General features: G+C 45.6%; 1 protein-coding gene across 2 annotated transcripts in view, besides 3 other annotated features; it reads right to left on the bottom strand.

Annotated features, from left to right (window-relative positions):
• SORD (sorbitol dehydrogenase) overlaps nucleotides 1–6,392 on the bottom strand; it is a 53,991-nt gene extending 47,599 nt beyond the window's left edge. For both annotated transcript variants that reach the window (NR_034039.2, NM_003104.6), the window contains exon 1: nucleotides 6,238–6,392. Coding sequence is in view for 1 of the 2 variants with exons in the window: in NM_003104.6 (NP_003095.2) it covers nucleotides 6,238–6,303 (66 nt within the window). In the remaining variant the exon portion in view is untranslated. The remainder of the gene's footprint in view (nucleotides 1–6,237) is intronic.
• Nucleotides 3,591–3,879: a silencer, noted in NCBI's record as "fragment chr15:45317906-45318194 (GRCh37/hg19 assembly coordinates)". NCBI's record gives its function as "represses an EF-1alpha promoter that drives an FKBP-Casp9 reporter gene in an ReSE screen in K562 erythroleukemia cells {active_cell/tissue: K562}" and the evidence as "EXISTENCE:reporter gene assay evidence [ECO:0000049][PMID:32094911]".
• Nucleotides 5,023–5,673: an enhancer, noted in NCBI's record as "H3K27ac hESC enhancer chr15:45316112-45316762 (GRCh37/hg19 assembly coordinates)". NCBI's record gives its function as "activates a minimal SCP1, AML or CMV promoter by ChIP-STARR-seq in naive H9 embryonic stem cells {active_cell/tissue: H9 hESC(naive)}" and the evidence as "EXISTENCE:reporter gene assay evidence [ECO:0000049][PMID:30033119]".
• Nucleotides 6,443–6,612: a silencer, noted in NCBI's record as "silent region_6399". NCBI's record gives its function as "represses an Ori minimal core promoter by ATAC-STARR-seq in GM12878 lymphoblastoid cells {active_cell/tissue: GM12878}" and the evidence as "EXISTENCE:reporter gene assay evidence [ECO:0000049][PMID:35858748]".

Here is an 18,411-nt window from a genome sequence, read left to right as displayed (position 1 = left end):
ATGCCACCATCTGCAGACGGTGGAAATAAAGGAGCACTGTAACAGCCCCTCTGGGGCTTCAGGGTCATGGACACCCTTACCTGGGTGCTGCTGCATTCCCCTCAAGGAGCTTGCTCCTGTGTCAGTGCCTGGAGCAGCTGGCTGGATCCCGCACTCACTCATTCATGTGCTCCCTCCCACAAGGGGTTGAGCACGGTAGGCCCAGTACTCCACAGGTCTGGCGAAGGGGCCAAGAAAAAGCTTGCATCACTTTGAGAGGAAAATGCTACCTTTGTGCCTCATGGTCTTTCACAGACAAAGGCATTGCCTTTCCAGAGCTGTTGGTGGAGGTGGGAGTGTTTACTGGATTTAATTTCCTGTTTTGAATTTGAAATGGTATGTCCAGTTTGGGTTTTGTTTTGTTGTTAAAACATAATTAAGATAAAAGCAAGAAAGATGGTTCTTTGGGCTACTTACTGCTACCCAATTTCTCTTTTTCTGGAGGATTTTCACATTCTCTTTTCACTCTCAAGTGTCTCTGACTTGTAAGGGTTAAGTAGCCTGCATCTCATCACTATCAGGGTAATCTGGTTTAATCCAGCTCCTGCTTCATGACTATCAGCCCCTTTAATCTGATCACATAGAAGCAGCTGGCTCAGAGAAACAGACATGATGCACAGGACCATCTGAGCTGCCCATGTTCATGCCCTCTCATTATACCATCCGCTTCTCACCCCAAAATCTTAACAGTAAAGTATAGACATTTTGAATGTGCTGTATTACAGATATAGATTTATCTTATTTTTAAAAATAAATAAGAGTATTTAAAAATGCTTAGGTCAAAGCAATTCTTTTGACCTAAGGTATAATACGTTGCCTCAATGGACAAAAACTCAAGAAATATCTTCATGGACCTCCGAGTAATGTTTAAACTTGATGCCAATATATTAATTTTTCTGCCCTTTATAATTAAACAACATTAACCCATCATTCTGAAATTATTATTTTTCCCTTTAATTTATTGTCTCCTCATATAGCTGATCATAACAAAAATCTGACTACATCCCCTCCATGGTGTTGTTTCCTGGAAATGGAGCCTGTTTTGTTCCTATACTTCTCCCTGTTCAGATGCTCCTGCCTGAAGGAAGAGCCAGCTTTCAGGAAGAAGGGAGATAAAGTGCACTCAGAGGGTGATTGATGAACTGATTTGTAATGCAATGTACAGAAATTGAGAGGAGCATTTAGAAATGTTTATATAATTTTTTTGTTTGTTTTTGTTTTGAGATAGAGTCTTGTTCTGTCACCCACGCTGCAGTGCAGTGGCATGATCTTGGCTCACTGCAACCTCTGCCTCCCCATTCAAGTGATTCTCGTGCCTCAGCCTCCTGAGTAGCTGGGATTACAGGTTGTGCACCACCACACCCAGTTAATTTTTGTATTTTTAGTAGAGACAGGATTTTTGCCATGTTGGCCAGGCTGGTCTCAAACTCCTGGCCTCAAGTGATCTGCCCGCCTTGGCCTCCCAAAGTGCTGGGGTTACAGGCATGAGCCACCGTGCCTGGCTGTTTATAGCATTTTGACGTGACACAGCATTCAAATATATTGATGCAAACATATCAGTCCATGGCCGACTGGAAAAAGTAAAATTGGCCCTTCATTGTGGACAGTTTGTAAAGCCCTGTATTAAAGTTCCCAGCACATGCCTGGAATGCAGTAGGCAGTCAATATATTAATTCCCCGCATTTCCTTACCATTCGAGTGAACCCTACATTGTAAAAACAAGCTTCCCACCACCCCCACCACCAAACATAGCTTCTATGGGGTAAAAACTAATTTGACTATTTTATATTCTAACTTCATGAATCCATAATTCATTTCCTAATTAAAAGCTTCTGGGTCTCAATAGACTGATCAAAGGGGCATACAGTAATTAAACTGGTAAATACAGTGGAAAGCAAGATTATTGCCTGGGCCCACATTATAATAATTTGGTTAGGAAAACTGTTCATGTGTTTGAAGGCCCTGGTCTCCATCCACCTCTTTTTAAGCTGATATGGTTTAAGTGTCCGTCCTCAGGGGCTCTGGCTTCCTGCTTATCTCCACAGTTAGCACATACCATTAACAGTGTGCTAAATGCTGTGCTAGGCCTTTCACACGCACAATTGGTTCCACTGAATCCTCATACAACCAAAGATGAATACTACCATTATCCCCATTTCACGGGGAAGTTGAAGTGGAAAATAATTTGTTGAGTCATACAACTAGCAGCAGTAGAAGGGGGACTAAACCCCACTCTGGCTCCCCAGCCTGGTTTGGGAACTTCGTACTATTTCCATTTAGAGAGAACCCCAGCAAGCTGACACTGTTTGCTTCTTTATACATCAACTTGGTCATCAGTCCCTTTTCCTCCCTCCAACTCTCAAACTTTCTCTATTCAAAATGAAGGGAAAAGCGAAAATCCTTAAGTCTCAGATTGTTGTTTCGTTTTGTTCTCCTAACTATAAAAGAAAACCACTGGTCTTAGTGTGTGTCTGACTTACCACCCAATTTATAAATGCTCCTCCTTGCTGTGGTCAAGGTGATCATTAACTAATTAGTAGGTGAGGAGTTTAATTTTTTGTTCCGTGCAGCCATACATCAAGAAAGAAGAGAATGGTGCAGTCTCCTTAGGCAGTAGGGAGGCTGTGTGGTAGGTTTCCTTCCTGCCAGTTAAAGGACAAGTAAAGTGGACTAAGGTCGCATTCCCCCACAGAACCACTGCCCCAGACGCTGGCTGGTTCCTGGCCTTATCTCAAGTAGGATGGCAGCAGTGGGAAAGGTTGAGACATTGCTTCCTGCTTCAGAATGCTTTGGAAACCTGCTTCAGATTTTAGGAATGATTTATACACTTTTTGGAAAGCAAATAATGATGTAAGTTAAATGATACACTTTTCCCTTGAAAATTTATACATTTTTTGAAAAGATCTTAGGAATGAGAGTTTCCCCAAACAACTCCCTTCATAGGAGTTCCTGAGGCACTGAACCATTTTATCAGTAGACCCTGCCCCCCTGTATACCTAAATCGGCCACAGTTTGCTGGGCTGCAGTTCCCCAGCCAGCCAGAAATGGAAGGGTTTTTAATCTGTGGCTGGTGGTCTTACATCAAAAGAAGAAAACAGTCAAATTCTCCCCACTTCCTCTTATCTTTTTTGTAGTTCATATCCAACCAAGGCTTTTTTCCCCCCAAAATGCATTTGCTGACAATTTATTAAGCCCAGGAAATTCTGGGTTTCATTTTGGTCCTCTTGCAGAGAGGAAAATGGGTGGTTCCCCTCAAAGCTTCCCCAGGATTGTTCCTCCTAGTTGCTATCTCTGGTTTACTACTGACCCCAAACCCAAGCCACTGAGCCTATTTGTCTTAAGGAAAAGATGGAGGAGCAGTGATACCACACTCGGGGTCTGGGTTGGGCACTGTGGAGGTGCTGGTGGAAGACCATGCCTGAGAAGGAGTGGCGAGGGCCCAGAAGGTCTGTGTTGAGCTGCAGGTGCACCTGAGGCAGCACAGTGGGTCTCCTCTGCTGACAACTCTTTCTGCCCTTTCCCCTCCAGTGTTGGGGCTCTCTCCAGGGTAATGTCCTCCTCTTCTTTCCTTCTCACTCTACATGGTTCACTCAGCCCAGGCAAGCTCAGCCATCCATAATTCCCCATAGGGCACTATTTGGGACAGGACAACTCTTTGTTGTGCAAGATAGCACTATGAACTGAATAAAGTCCGCAGTAGTGCTCCTCAGTCATCGTGACAACCAAGCCTCCCTGACACATTTCCAAATGTCTCCTGGGTGGCGGGGCAGTGCAGTACTGCTCAGTAGAGGAGCAAAGGACTCCTGAGTTTACATTTCCACCCCTGATAGTATCCCTGCACTCCAGACCCCTGCACCCAAGGAAATTTCTCAAAGGCACCTTGTGTCCTGTCCCAGAGACATCTTTTTTTTTTTTTTTTTTTTGACATAGTTTTGCTGTCATTCAGGCTGGAGTGCAGTGGTACGATCTCAGTTCATTGCAATCTCTGACTCCCAGACTCAAGCGATTCTCAGCTTCCCAAGTAGCTGGGATTACAGGCATGTGGCACCACACCCAGCTAATTTTTGTATTTATAGTAGAGACAGTTTCACCGTGTTGGCCAGGTTGGTCTCAAACTCCAGACCTCAAGCGATCTGCCTACCTTGGCCTTTCAAAGTGCTGGGATTACAGGCATCAGCCACCACACCTGGCCTCCAGAGACATCTTAAACTCAACTTTTCAAACCTGATCTCATCATTTTAATCTACTCTGACTAGTAAATGACGCTACCACTTCCCATTCTCAAACTGAGCCTAGGTGTTTTCCTAAATCCTCCTCTGAACTCTTTTACCCAGCTAGTGTTCCAGCACACAACCAAAGGTGAAATTCTCTAGCCCATCATATTTTCTAGATACTTCAGGTTACAGCCACCCCAACCTAGCCCCTAATCCAGTCAGAGAGTGGGTTCTAATGCAAAGCTGATGAGATCAAGGTTAGTTCGCTGCTGCTCTAATCTTCAAAGCTTTGTCTACGGAACCATAGTAGAGGTAGTCTGCCTGAGCAGTGGAAGACCATGAGTTTGAGGTAAGATGAAGGAGAACTTAACTGTGTTTCTGCACCTTAGGTGCATGACTTTTAAGCAGGCTCTGAGCAGATAGAGGGCCAAGGGCCCCTCCCTGTGGCGTCTTTTCTCTCTGAGGCCTCCATCAAAGCCCTCGGGCTCTGTCATAATTGTTGACTTTATCTGTCTGCCTCCCTCAGTAAACTTGGGAGCAGGGGCTGTGTCCTCCTTTCTGGGCCCTCAGCCCAGTGCCTGGCACATGGCAGGCACCCTTTCATGAGTGAATGTTTGTGGAATGAAGTACTGAGTTGGAAATCACTCTGCAAGCTGGGTAGAGCTGGACCACTTTCCCTTACTCATAATACCATCTGGCATTTGCAACAGTAAACACTAACAGCCTCACTTTAATTCAGGACCTTGGGTGGAGGCTCCAAAGAGTGGAATGAGCACTAGAATGGGGAGTCTGAACATCTGAGTCCTTGTCGTGGCTCTGTTAACTAACAAAACCTATCACCTTGGGTATGGTACTTTCTTCAACTGAGGAGATGGAGAGTCAGCTGGGACAAGGGTTCTATAGAGGGGCTTAGAGCGGCTTAAAGGGAGTCCTTGAGCAGTCTGAAATTGTTGCCAAACTCAGTCTATTTGCATTCTGTGGAGGGGACACCACAGATTCTTAAATAGTCAAGAACTGCTAACCTGGATAAGCTTCTGAATTACTGCAGTTTACATACTGACGCATGTACTTTGAGGGAAAAGAGGTACAGGGGAGCAGCAGAGATGGCTGGCACTCATCCCACATACCCACTGCCATCCCAGGCCCATCTGAGAGGGACTTTGTCAAGGGAGGCTTGGCATGACTAGGCTGCTGACTCAGCCACTTCCTAAACTTTGGTGCCACAAGCCAGGGAGCAAAAGGCAGGGTCTAAGGCAGAGGACACACATACAGAATGCTCCTAAAGGGACAGAGGCACGGGATTGGAAAGAAAAACTGCTGGAAAGTGAACCAGACAGGGTCTTAGGGAGAGAAGGATCCTTACAGACAAGGGAGCTATCAAGATCCACAAGTCTGGCACAGGCAAGGGGAACAGCAGGGGTTCTGGAGATGGAGGCCTAGACTGGAAGGAAAGGAGAAGGAGCTGGCACTTCCTGAGCACGTACTAAGTGCTGAGTACTCTTGTGATCATCATAATCCTGCAAGGGAGGTTTATCAGTCCCAAGCAAGGGAGTTAAATACAAGTTCTGCTGTTTCTAAGTGTCCTCTGGCCCCCCTTTCTCTGCTCTGCACGGTCTGCCCCGATAATTCAGACAGCCTTAGCATTTCCTTTGGAAAGGTCAATGACAAGAGGCTGGACTATGAATCTGCAGCTGGCAAAGGAGAGAGAAAGCTTCATTCAAACAGTTTGCAACCGTCCTGGGCACCGGCCACGTGCCAGCCACGGGGCTAGGTTCCGGGAGGCACACGACTAGATCCCTGCCCTTCGCAACAGCCACTACCTGCTGCCCCCACACCCCGAGGGGAACCAGCTGGGATCTGGGCAGCCAGGGCGCTTAAGGTGCGGGGCCGGCGCCAGGCTGGAAGTGGGAAGCCAGGACTATGGCTGGGCTCAGAGGAGAGTGAGGCAGGATCGGTATGCTTCCCACCCTCCTTCCCAGCTTACCAGGCGCAAGTCCCCCGGTCCGTGCACCACCAGGGAAAGGTTGTTGGGCTTGGCCGCCGCCGCCATGGAGCTCTTTTGGCTCTGGAGTGCGGCCTGGAAGGCGCGGGACGTTTGGTCGCTCTGGTGGCGCTACCCAGCCGAGGGTCCAGGGCACTGGATGGAAGGTGGGGCCTGGGAGAAGCGCCGCACGCAGGGGCGGGACTAGGCTTCCTCCTTTGTGCCAGCCTGGGCGGCGCTAGCGTGGAGGGGCGGGGCTTCCCAGCCTCCTCCAGACCCGGAGGCGGGGCGGGGCTTCGGGAGGGGGCTGGGAGCGAGAAGCCCGGGTGCTGGCTCCATCTGCAGCGCGCTGTTTTTTTTGTTTGTTTGTTTGTTTGTCGCCGAGGCTGGAGTACAGTGGTGCGATCCCGGCTCACTGCAAGCTCTGCCTCCCGGGTTCAAGCCATTCTCCTGCCTCAGCCTCCCGAATAGCTGGGACTACAGGCGCCCACCACCACGTATTTTTGTTTAGTAGAGACGGGGTTTCACCGTGTTAGCCAGGATGGTCTCGATATCCTGACCTCGTGATCCACCCGCCTCCGCCTCCCAAAGTGCTGGGATTACAGGCGTGAGCCACCGCGCCGGCCCTGCAGCGCGCTGTTTTTGCCGCCTCACATGCAAGCACACACGGCTGCCTTGAAAACCGCCTGCAGAGGCAGTAGGCACCAGACCAGCGCTCTCAAACGTTAGCTGCAGAAGAATTGGGGTGGGGAATGTGAGGCGCTGTTGAGAATGCACATTCTCAGGACCAGCACAGAGATTCTGATACAGTAGGTCTAGGTCTGAGGTGCTGCCTGAGGGTCCATATTCCTAGCAACGAGAATGCTGAGGCTGTGGGTGGAGCACGGTGTGCACTTTGCGAGACAGGTGCTACCATGACGCAGCGTCCACGTCGGCCCTTTGTCTCCAGCCCCCAGGAAAGGGCCTGGCACGAGTAGGAGTAAATGAATTCGTGCATCATTACATGGGCCTGGTGCTTAAGTATAAAAAAGACATGAGGCCGGGCGCAGTGGCTCTTGCCTGTAATCCCAGCACTTTGGGAAGCCGAGGCAGGTGGATCACCTGAGGTCAGGAGTTCGAGACCAGCCTGACCAATATGGTGAAAACCCCGTCTCTACTAAAAATACAAAAATTAGCCGGGCATGGTGGCATGCGCCTTAATCTCAGCTACTCGGGAGGCTGAGACAGGAGAATAGCTTGAACCTGGGAAGCAGAGGTTGCAGTGAGCTGAGATCATGCCATTCAACACCAGCCTGGGCAACAAGAGTGAAAATCTGTCTTTAAAAAAAAAAAAGCCATGAAATGGAATTTGTGAACCTCTTTCTCTCAACTGGATCTGCTGCTTCTATTCAAAGCAGAGTTTCTGCCCAAACTCTTCCTTCAAGCCTCTCAGCCCTCTGAGAAACAGTGAGGTTTTACTCTCTGAGGAGAGAGGCGCTTCTAGATAGGCCTAAGTCTATAAGGCCCCTCCCTCCTTTGAGGATAATGCTCAGGATTTCATTCCCTTACAGTCCCCCCTCCCCAATATGTAACCGCCCAATGGATTCACCTTGCCTGCTGCCTAGACAAAACTAATTTATCAAGACAGGGGAACTGCAATAGGGAAAGAGTTCATGCAGAACCAGCTATGCAGGAGACTGGAATTTCATTATTGCTCAAATCCGGCTCCCCAAGCATTCGAGCATACGGGGACTCAGAGTTTTTAAGGATAGTTTGATGGGTGGGGAAAGGCCAGTGAGTCAGGAGTGCTGATTGTTTGGGTCAGAGATGAAATCATAGGGGATCTAAGCTGTCTTCTTGGACTGAGTCAGTTTCTGGGCGAGGGCCACAAGGTCAGATAAGTGAGTTTATCAATCTGGTTGGTGCTACGCCTTGAGGGACCGGTGCCAGTATAGGCTGTATTTGTTCCTTGCTGAGGGCCCTGGTTCCTCTGGCTAAGATTAGGCCTAGATATTTGACTTGTTGTAGGCAGAGCTGGGCTTTCAGTTTAGACACCTTGCCCGCTTGATTACCTAGAAAGTTCAAGAGATCTAGAGTAGCCTGCTGGCATGAGGCTTCCAAATTGGTAGCCAAAAGTAAATCATCCAGATTCCGTTCCAAGATGGCCAAATAGGAACAGCTCCGGTCTGCAGCTCCCAGTGTGATCGATGCAGAAGACGGTGATTTCTGCATTTCCAACTGAGGTACCTGGTTCATCTCATTGGGACTGGTTGGACAGTGGCTGCAGCCCATGGAGGGTGAGCCGAAGCAGGGAGGGGCATTGCCTCACCCGGGAAGCGCAAGCGGTTGGGGGATTTCCCTTTCCTAGCCAAGGAAAGCTGTGACAGACTGTACCTGGAAAATCAGGACACTCTCACCCAAATACTGCACTTTTCCAACGGTCTTAGCAAATGGCACACCAGGAGATTAAATCCTGTGCCTGGCTCAGTGGGTCCCACGCCCACAGAGCCTTGCTCACTACTAGCACAGCAGTCTGAGGCAGCAGCCTGGCAGGGGAGGGGCGTCCGCCATTGCTGAGGCTTGAGTAGGTAAACAAAGCAGCCGGGAAGGTTGAACTGGGCAGAGCCCACCGCAGCTCTGCAAGGTCTGCTGCCTCTGTAGACCTCACCTCTGGGGGCAGGGCATAGGTGAACAAAAGACAGCAGAAACTTCTGCAGACTTAAACGTCCCTGTCTGACAGCTCTGAAGAGAGCAGTGGCTCTCCCAGTACAGTGTTTGAGCTCTGAGAATGGACAGACTGCCTCCTCAAGTGGGTCCCTGGCCCCCATGTAGCCTAACTGGGAGACACTTCCCAGTAGGGGCCAACTGACACCTCATACAGGCGGGTGCCCCTGTGGGACGAAGCTTCCAGAGGAAGGATCAGGCAGCAACATTTGCTCTTCTGCAATATTTGCTGTTCTGCAGCCTCCACTGGTAATACTCAGGTAAACAGGGTTTGGAGTTGACCTCCCGCAAACTCCAACAGATCTGCAGCTGAGGGACCTGACTCTTAGAAGGAAAACTAGCAAATAGGAATAGCATCAACATCAACAAAAAGGACATCCACACCAAAACCCCATCTGTAGGTCACCAGCATCAAAGGTAGATAAAACCACGAAGATGGGGAGAAACCAGAGCAGAAAAACGGAAAATTCTAAAATCCAGAGTGCCTCTTCTCCTCCAAAAGATCACAGCTCCTCATCAGCAACGGACCAAAGGTGGACGGAGAATGACTTTGATGAGCTGAGAGAAGTAGGCTTCAGAAGGTTGGTAATAACATACTTCTCCCAGCTAAAGGAGGATGTTCAAACCCATCGCAAAGAAGCTAAAAACCTTGAAAAAAGATTAGACGAATGGCTAACTGGAATAAATAGTGTAGAGAAGACCTTAAATGACCTGATGGAGCTGAAAACCATGGCACAAGAACTATGTGATGCATGCACAAGCTTCAACAGCCAATTCATTCAAATGGAAGAAAGGATATCAGTGATTGAAGATCAAATTAATGAAATAAAGTGAGAGGAGAAGTTTAGAGAAAAAAGAGTAAAAAGAAATGAACAAAGCCTCCGAGAAATATGGGACTATGTGAAAAGACCAAATCTACATTTGATTGGTGTACCTGAAAGTGACAGGGAGAATGGAAACAAGTTGGAAAACACTCTTCAGGATATTATCCAGGAGAACTTCCACAACCTAGCAAGACAGGCCAACATTCAAATTAAGGAAATACAGAGAACACCACAAAGATACTCCTCAAGAAGAGCAACCCCGAGACACACAATTGCCAGATTCACCAAGGTTGAAATGAAGGAAAAAATGTTAAGCGCAGCCAGAGAGAAAGGTCGGATTACCCACAAAGGGAAGCCCCTCAGACTAGCACTGGATCTCTCAGCAGAAACTCTACAAGCCAGAAGAGAGTGGGGGCCAATATTCAACATTCTTCAAGAAAAGAATTTTCAACCCAGAATTTCATATTCAGCCAAACTAAGCATCATAAGTGAAGGAGAAATAAAATACTTTACAGACAAGCAAATGCTGAGAGGTTTTGTCACCACCAGGCCTCCCTTACAAGAGCTCCTGAAGGAAACACTAAACATGGAAAGCAACAACCAGTACCAGCCACTGCAAAAACATGCCAAATTTTAAAGACCATCAATGCTAGGAAGAAAATGCATTAAATAATGGGCAAAATAACCAGCTAACATCAAAATGACAGGATCAAATTCACACATAACAATGCATGATGGGTTCAAACATCCTTCTTTAGCTGGGAGAAGTATGTTATTACCAACCTTCTGAAGCCTACTATATTAACCTTAAATATAAACGGGCTAAATGCCCCAGTTAAAAGACATGGACTGGCAAATTAGGTAAAGATTCAAGACCCATCAGTGTGCTGTATTCAGGAGACCCATCTCACCTGCAGAGACTCACATCGGCTCAAAATAAAGGGATGGAAGAAGATCTAACAAGCAAATGGAAAGCCAAAAAAAAAAAAAAAAAAGCAGGGGTTTCAATCCTAGTCTCTGATAAAACAGACTTTGAACCAACAAAGATCAAGAGACAGAGAAGGCCATTACATAGTGGTAAAGGGATCAATTCAAAAAGAAGAGCTAACTATCCTAAATATTTATGCACCCAATACAGGAGCACCCAGATTCATAAAACAAGTCCTTAGAGACTTACAAAGAGACTTAGACTCCCACACCATGATAATGGGAGACTTTAACATCCAACTGTCAATATTAGACAGATCAACAAGACAGAATGTTAACAAGGATATCCAGGACTTGAACTCAGCTCTGCACCAGGCAGACCTAGTAGACATCTACAGAACTCTCCACCCCAAATCAACAGAATATACATTCTTCTAAGCACCACATAGCACTTATTCCAAAATTGACCACATAGTTGGAAGTAAAGCACTTCTCAGCAAATGTAAAAGAACAGAAATCACAACACACTGCCTCTGAGACCACAGCGCAATCAAATTAGAACTCAGGATTAAGAAACTCACTCAAAACCACAAAACTACATGAAAACTGTACTGTTCCTGAATGACTACTGGGTAAATAATGAAATGAAGGCAGAAATAAAGATGTTCCTTGAAACCAATGAGAACAAAGACACAAAGTACCAGAATCTCTGGGACACATTTAAAGCAGTGTGTAGAGGGAAATTTATAGCACTAAATGCCCAGAAGACAAAGTAGGAAAGATCTAAAATCAACACCCTAACATCACAATTAAAAGAACTAGAGAAGCAAGAGCAAACAAATTCAAAAGCTAACAGAAGGCAAGAAATAACTAAGATCAGAGCAGAACTGAAGGAGATAGAGACACAAAAAACCCTTCAAAATAATCAGTGAATTCAGGAGCTGGTTTTTTGAAAAGATCAACAAAATCGACAGACTGCTAGCAAGACTAATAAAGAAGAAATGAGAGAAGAATCAAATAGACACAATAAAAAATGATAAAGGGGATATCACCACCGATCCCACAGAAATACAAACTACCATCAGAGAATACTATAACCACCTCTATGGAAATAAACTAGAAAATCTAGAAGAAATGGATAAATTCCTCGACACATACACCCTCCCAGGACTAAAGCAGGAAGAAGTTGAATCTCTGAATAAACCAATAACAGGTTCTGAAATTGAGTCAATAATTAATAGACTATCAACCAAAAAAAGTCCAGGGCAAGACGGATTCACAGCCGAATTCTACCAGAGGTAGAAAGAGGAACTGGTACTATTCCTTCTGAAACTATTCCAAACAATAGAAAAAGAGGGACTCCTCCCTAAATGATTTTATGAGGTCAGCATCATCCTGATACCAAAGCCTGGCAGAGACACAACTAAAAAAGAGAATGTTAGACCAATATCCCTGATGAACATCGATGCAAAAATCCTCAATAAAATACTGGCAAACTGAATCCAGCAGCACATCAAAAAGCTTATCCACCATGATCAAGTGGGCTTCATCCCTGGGATGCAAGGCTGGTTCAACATATGCAAATCAATAAACGTAATCCATCACATAAACAGAACCAATGACAAAAACCACATGATTATCTCAATAGATGCAGAAAAGGCCTTCAACAAAATTCAACAGCCCTTCATGCTAAAAACTCTAATAAACTAAGTATTGATGGAACGTATCTCAAAATAATAAGAGCTAGTTATGACAAACCCACAGCCAATATCATAATGGGCAAAAACTGGAAGCATTCCCTTTGAAAAGTGGTACAAGACAAGGATGCCCTCTCTCACCATTCCTATTCAACATAGTGTTGCAAGTTCTGGCCAGGGCAATCAGGCAAGAGAAAGAAATAAAGGGTATTCAATTAGGAAAAGAGGAAGTCAAATTGTCCCTGTTTGCAGATATTGTATATTTAGAAAACCCCATTGTCTCAGCCCAAAATCTCCTTAAGCTGATAAGCAACTTCAGCAAAGTCTCAGGATACAAAATCAGTGTGCAAAAATCACAAGCATTCCTATATGCCAATAACAGACAAACAGAGAGCCAAATCATGAGGGAACTCCCATTCACAATTGCTACAAAGAGAATAAAATACCTAGGAATCCAACTTCACAAGGGATGTGAAGGACCTCTTCAAGGAGAACCACAAACCACTGCTCAATGAAATAAAAGGAGACACAAACAAATGGAAGAACACTCCATGCTCATGGATAGGAAGAATCAATATCGTGAAAATGGCCATACTGCCCATGGTAGTTTATAGATTCATTGCCATCCCCATCAAGCTACCAATGACTTTCTTCACAGAACTGGAAAAAACTACTTTAAAGTTCATATGGAACCAAAAAAAGCCTGCATTGCCAAGACAATCCTAAGCAAAAAGAACAAAGCTGGAGGCATCATGCTACCTGACTTCAAACTATACTACAAGGCTACAGTAACCAAAACAGCATGGTACTGGTACCAAAACAAATATATAGACCAATGGAACAGAACAGAGGCCTCTGAAATAACACCACACATCTACAACCATCTGATCTTTCACAAACCTAATAGAAACAAGCAATGGGGAGGCCAGGCACCATGGCTCACACCTGTAATCCCAGCACTTTGGGATGCCAAGGTGGGCGGATCATGATGTCAGGAGATCGAGACCATCCTGGCTAACACGGTGAAACACCATCTCTACTAAAAATACAAAAAATTAACCGGGCATGGTGGCAGGTGCCTGTAGTCCCAGCTACTTGGGAGGCTAAGGCAGAAGAATGGCATGAACCCAGGAGGTGGAGCTGGCAGTGAGCTAAGATTGTGCCACTGCACTCTAGCCTGGGCGACAGAGTGAGACTCCGTCTCAAAAAAACAAAACAAAAAACAAACAAACAAACAACAAAAAAAGCAATGGGGAAAGGATTCCCTATTTAATAAATGGTGCTGGGAAAACTGGCTAGCCATATGTAGAAAGCTGAAACTGGATCCCTTCCTTACACCTTATACAAAAATTAATTCAAGATAGATTAAAGACTTAAATGTTAGACCTAAAACCGTACAAACTGTAGAAGAAAACCTAGGCAAAACCATTCATCACAGAGGCATGGGCAAGGACTTCATGACTAAAACACCAAAAGCAATGGCAACAAAAGCCAAAATAGACAAATGGGATATAATGAAACTAAAGAGCTTCTGCACAGCAAAAGAAATTACCATCAGAGTGAACAGGCAACCTGTTGTCTGACAAAGGACTAATATCCAGAATCTACAAAGAACTTAAACAAATTTACAAGAAAAAAACAAACAACCCCATCAAAAATTGGGCAAAGGATATTAACAGTCACTTTTCAAAAGAAGACATTTATGTAGCCAACAGACACATGGAAAAATGCTCATCATCACTGGTCATCAGAAAAATGCAAATCAAAACCACAATGAGATACCATCTCATGCCAGTTAGAATGGCAATCATTAAAAAGTCAGGAAACAACAGATGCAGGAAAGGATGTGAAGAAATAGGAATGTTTTACACTGTTGATGGGAGTGTAAACTAGTTCATCCATTGTGGAAGGCAGTGTGGCAATTCCTCAAGAATCTAGAACTAGAAATACCATTTGTCCCAGCGATCCCATTACTGGGTATATACCCAAAGGACTATAAGTCATGCCACTATGAAGACACATGCACACATATGTTTATTGTGGCACAATTCACAATAGCAAAGACTTGGAACCAACCCAAATGTCCATCACTGATAGACTGGATTAAGAAAATGTGGCACATATACACCATGGAATACTATGTAGCCATAAAAAAAGGATGAGTCCTTGTCCTTTGCAGGGACATGGATGAAGCTGGAAACCATCATTCTCAGCAAACTATCACAAGGACAGAAAACCAAACACCGCATGTTCTCACTCATAGGTGGGAATTGAACAATGAGAACACTTGGACATAGGGTGGGGAACATCACACATGGGAGCCTGTTGTGGGGTGGGGGGCAGGGGGAGGGATAGCATTAGGAGAAATATCTAATGTAAATGATGAGTTGATGGTTGAGGCAAACCAACATGGCACATGTATACATATGTAACAAACCTGCATGCTGTGCACATGTACCCTAGAACTTCAAGTATAATAATAATAATAAAAGTAAATCATCCACTTGCTGAAGGAGCAGCACCAGAGTTCCTGGACTTGAGAAGTGGCCTAGATCTTGGGTCAGTACCTGACCAAACAGATGAGGGCTATCCCTAAACCCTTGAGGCAAGAATGTCCTCATAAGTAGGGATGTGTCTGTGGAATCCTCAAAGGCAAAGAGAAACTGGGAGTCAGAGGGTAGGGAAATGCAGATGAAGGTATCCTTGAGGTCCAGAACAGTGAACCATTCTGCTTCCTCTGGTTTTTGAGAGAGCAGGGTATAGGAGTTGCGTACAACTGGATATAGAGAAATTACTGCCTCATTGATTAGTCTGAGATCTTGCACTAGTTTCCACTGACCATTTGGTTTTTGTACTCCTAGAATTGGGGTGTTGCAGGGACTGTTGCATTTTCTTACTAATCCTTGAGTTTTTAAATGTCTGACAATATCCTGTAACCCTGTATGAGCTTAAGGCCTTAAGGGATATTGCCTTTGATAAGGAAAATTGGCGGGGTCTTTTAGCCTGATTTGAACTGGGCGGGCATTTTTTGCCCTTCTGAATTGTCCTTCCAATGCCCAGAATTCAGAGTTGATTCCCTCCTCAAGTAGGGGACAACAAATGGGTAATTTGTCCCCCATATTCATATAGATAATAGCTCCAGCTTTGGCTAATATGTCCCTCCCTAATAAGGGTGTGGGACTTTCAGGCATAACAAGAAAGTCATGTGAAAATAGCAAAGTCTCCCAATTACAGCTGAGGAGGTGGGAGAAATACCTGGTTACAGGCTGTCCCAGGATTCCTTGGATGGTAATGGACTTTGAGGACGGCGGTCCAGGGCAGGAGATTAACACTGAGAAGGCTGTGCCAGTGTCCAGGAGGAAATCAATTTCCTGGCCTTCAGTGGTTAAAGTTACCCAGGGCTCAGTGAGGGTGATGACATGAGCTGGTGCTTGCCTCGGGCACCCTCAGTCCTGTTGGGTCATCTCGCTGGGGGCTTCTGGCCCAGAGAATCTTTGTCCTCTGGGGCAGTGCATCTTCCAGTGATTGCCTTGGCATAGTGGACATGGGTGAGGGGGCAGCTTTTTTCTCATTGGACAATCTTTTTTAAAGTGTCCTTGCAAACCACACTCATAACAAGCCCTACCAGGTGATTGGCCTGCTCCATTTTCTGTCCTGTCTGAACCACCAAGGTTTGTTCATGTGAGGGCCATGACTAAGGCTGTGGCCTTTCTCTGATCTCACTTTTCCTACTCGGCCTGTTCCTTTTGGTCCCTATTATAGAACACCGAGGTTGCCAGCTTTAATAATGCCTCAGATTTTGTTCAGGGCCCAGGGCTCGCTTTTGGAGCTTTCTCCTGATATCTGCAGCTGATTGCATAATAAACTTATCTTTTAAGATCAATTGACTCTCAAGGGAGTCGGATGATAGGGGAGTATGTTTTCTTAAGACCTCCCATAGTCACTCGAGGAAGGCGGAAGGATTTTCTTCCTTTCCCTGAGTTATGGTGGACATCATTGAATAATTCATGGGCTTTTTCCTAATTCTCCTTAGTTCTTCTAGAACACAGGTCAACAGATGTTTGTGACTCCAGTCCCCATGATCTGAGTCAAGGTCCCAGTGGGGATCCATCCTGGGGATGTCTTGCTGACTGGTAGGGAGTTTGTCCCTTTCTTCGGCTGTCATTCTATCATTTACTTGACTAAGATACCAGGTATCTCCAAACTCTCAGGCTGCAGCTAAAGCTGCATTCTTTTCATTAAAGGCCAGGGCTTGATCTAACAATAGATCCAGTGAGCCAGGTGAGGTGGTGGCTCACACCTGTAATCCCAGCACTTTGGGAGGCCGAGGCGGGCAGGTCACAAGGTCAGGAGATTGAGACCACCCTGGCTAACACGGTGAATCCCCGTCTCTACTAAAAATACAAAATATTAGCCAGGCGTAGTGGCGGATGACTGTAGTCCCAGCTACTCGGGAGGCTGAGGCAGGAGAATGGTGTGAACCCGGGAAGTGGAGCTTGCAGTGAGCTGAGATTGTGCCACTGCACTCCAGCCTGGGCAACAGAGTGAAACTCCATCTCAAAACAACAACAACAGCAACAAAACAATAGCATGACATCTCTCCAAGTGAGGTCGAAGGTTTGCCCTAGACCCCATAGGATATCTATATACCTATCAGGATCACCTGAAAACTTCCCCAGATCTAACTTGATCTGCTTTAAATCAGAGAGGGAGAAGGGGACTTGTACCCGGGTTGGGCCAAATTCCCCTCCCCCTACAGCTTGAAGAGGACATAACCTATAGCGGGTTTTTTGTGGTCCCTTGGAGATTTCTTTGCTTGTTTCCTTCTGGGTGGGGGAGATTAGAGGAGGCTCATCATTAATAGGAAGGAAGAGGAGCTGTAAGGAGGCTAGGATATGGGGGTAAGCTGAGAGGTCCTCCTGTGGAATGTAGATTGCAAGCTTTGCATAGTTGTGGATTGTCCTTCAGTGAAAAGAAAGCTTGGACATAAGGTATTTCACTCCACTTGCCTTCCTTCTTACAGAAAAGTTCAAGCTGCAGGATACTATTGTAATTTATACGTCCCTCAGGTGGCCATTTTTCCCCATCAGAGAGACAATATTGGGACCAGGCCATAGTGCAGAAAAAAATAAGCCACTTCTTTTTCAGGGTTTGCAGGTCAAATTGGTCCCAATGGCTTAGGATTAATTTCAAGTGTGAGCCTGTTGATCCCTGAGTGTTTCCCACCTGAAAGAAAAAAACGCCAATGGTTTTGGTTTGTTTTTTTTTCTCCTGCCCAAGAACCCGCAACAGGTCCTGGATGCTGCTGTTTGGAATAGTTTTGCTCACAGAAGCAGCAGTGGAAACACTAGTTTTCCTCCTAGACCACAAAGAAGACCGAGGAAGGTCAGATTTAGTTGCCCTTACCAATGCATTCTCAAAAACCTGCACCCTTGCCTTTCCTCTTAGACCACAAAGAGGACCGAGAAAAAACGGATTTAGTGGCCCTTACTGATGCATTCTTAAAAATCTGTTAGAGTCCTAAGCATTTTCTTCTGTTGGTATTGTGACCTTACCCTTATCCTATAAAGATGATATGCCACAAAATGGAGGGGAGGGCCATACCTTGAGGGAGGGAAGGGATCTCCAGGGTTGTAAGAGTGATGCCTTTTGTCTTCACTTCTCATCATATGAACAGGAAGGATATCCGCTGCCCAATTTTGGAGTCTATAATTTCTGAGGCTCCCCATATCTTAGCTTTGGGAATAGCCTTTGTTAGGCCTGCTAGTCTGAGGAGGAATCCTAAAATTCCAGATAGTCCCCTCTGTGATGGGGCTTTGGGCAATAATTATGTCTTTCTGATTGGTGAGCCCGGGTGCCTAAAAAAGGGAACAGAGTCCCGAAATTTATACTAGAAACCATTCTTTTTGGAGAAACTAGAAGAGCACCGGGGACAAGGAGTAGTTTTTAGAAGCAGGACTAGTCTTGAAGAAGAGAGGTGGGAGGAAGTTTGTCTGACAGGCATAGGACCCAGGAGGCAAGGGTCG

The sequence above is a fragment of the Homo sapiens genome, chromosome 15 (genome assembly GCF_000001405.40).
Source record: "Homo sapiens chromosome 15, GRCh38.p14 Primary Assembly".
NCBI lineage: Eukaryota > Metazoa > Chordata > Mammalia > Primates > Hominidae > Homo > Homo sapiens.
The sequence above is the reverse complement of the archived record's forward strand: the minus strand, read 5'-3'. Positions and strand labels throughout refer to the sequence as shown.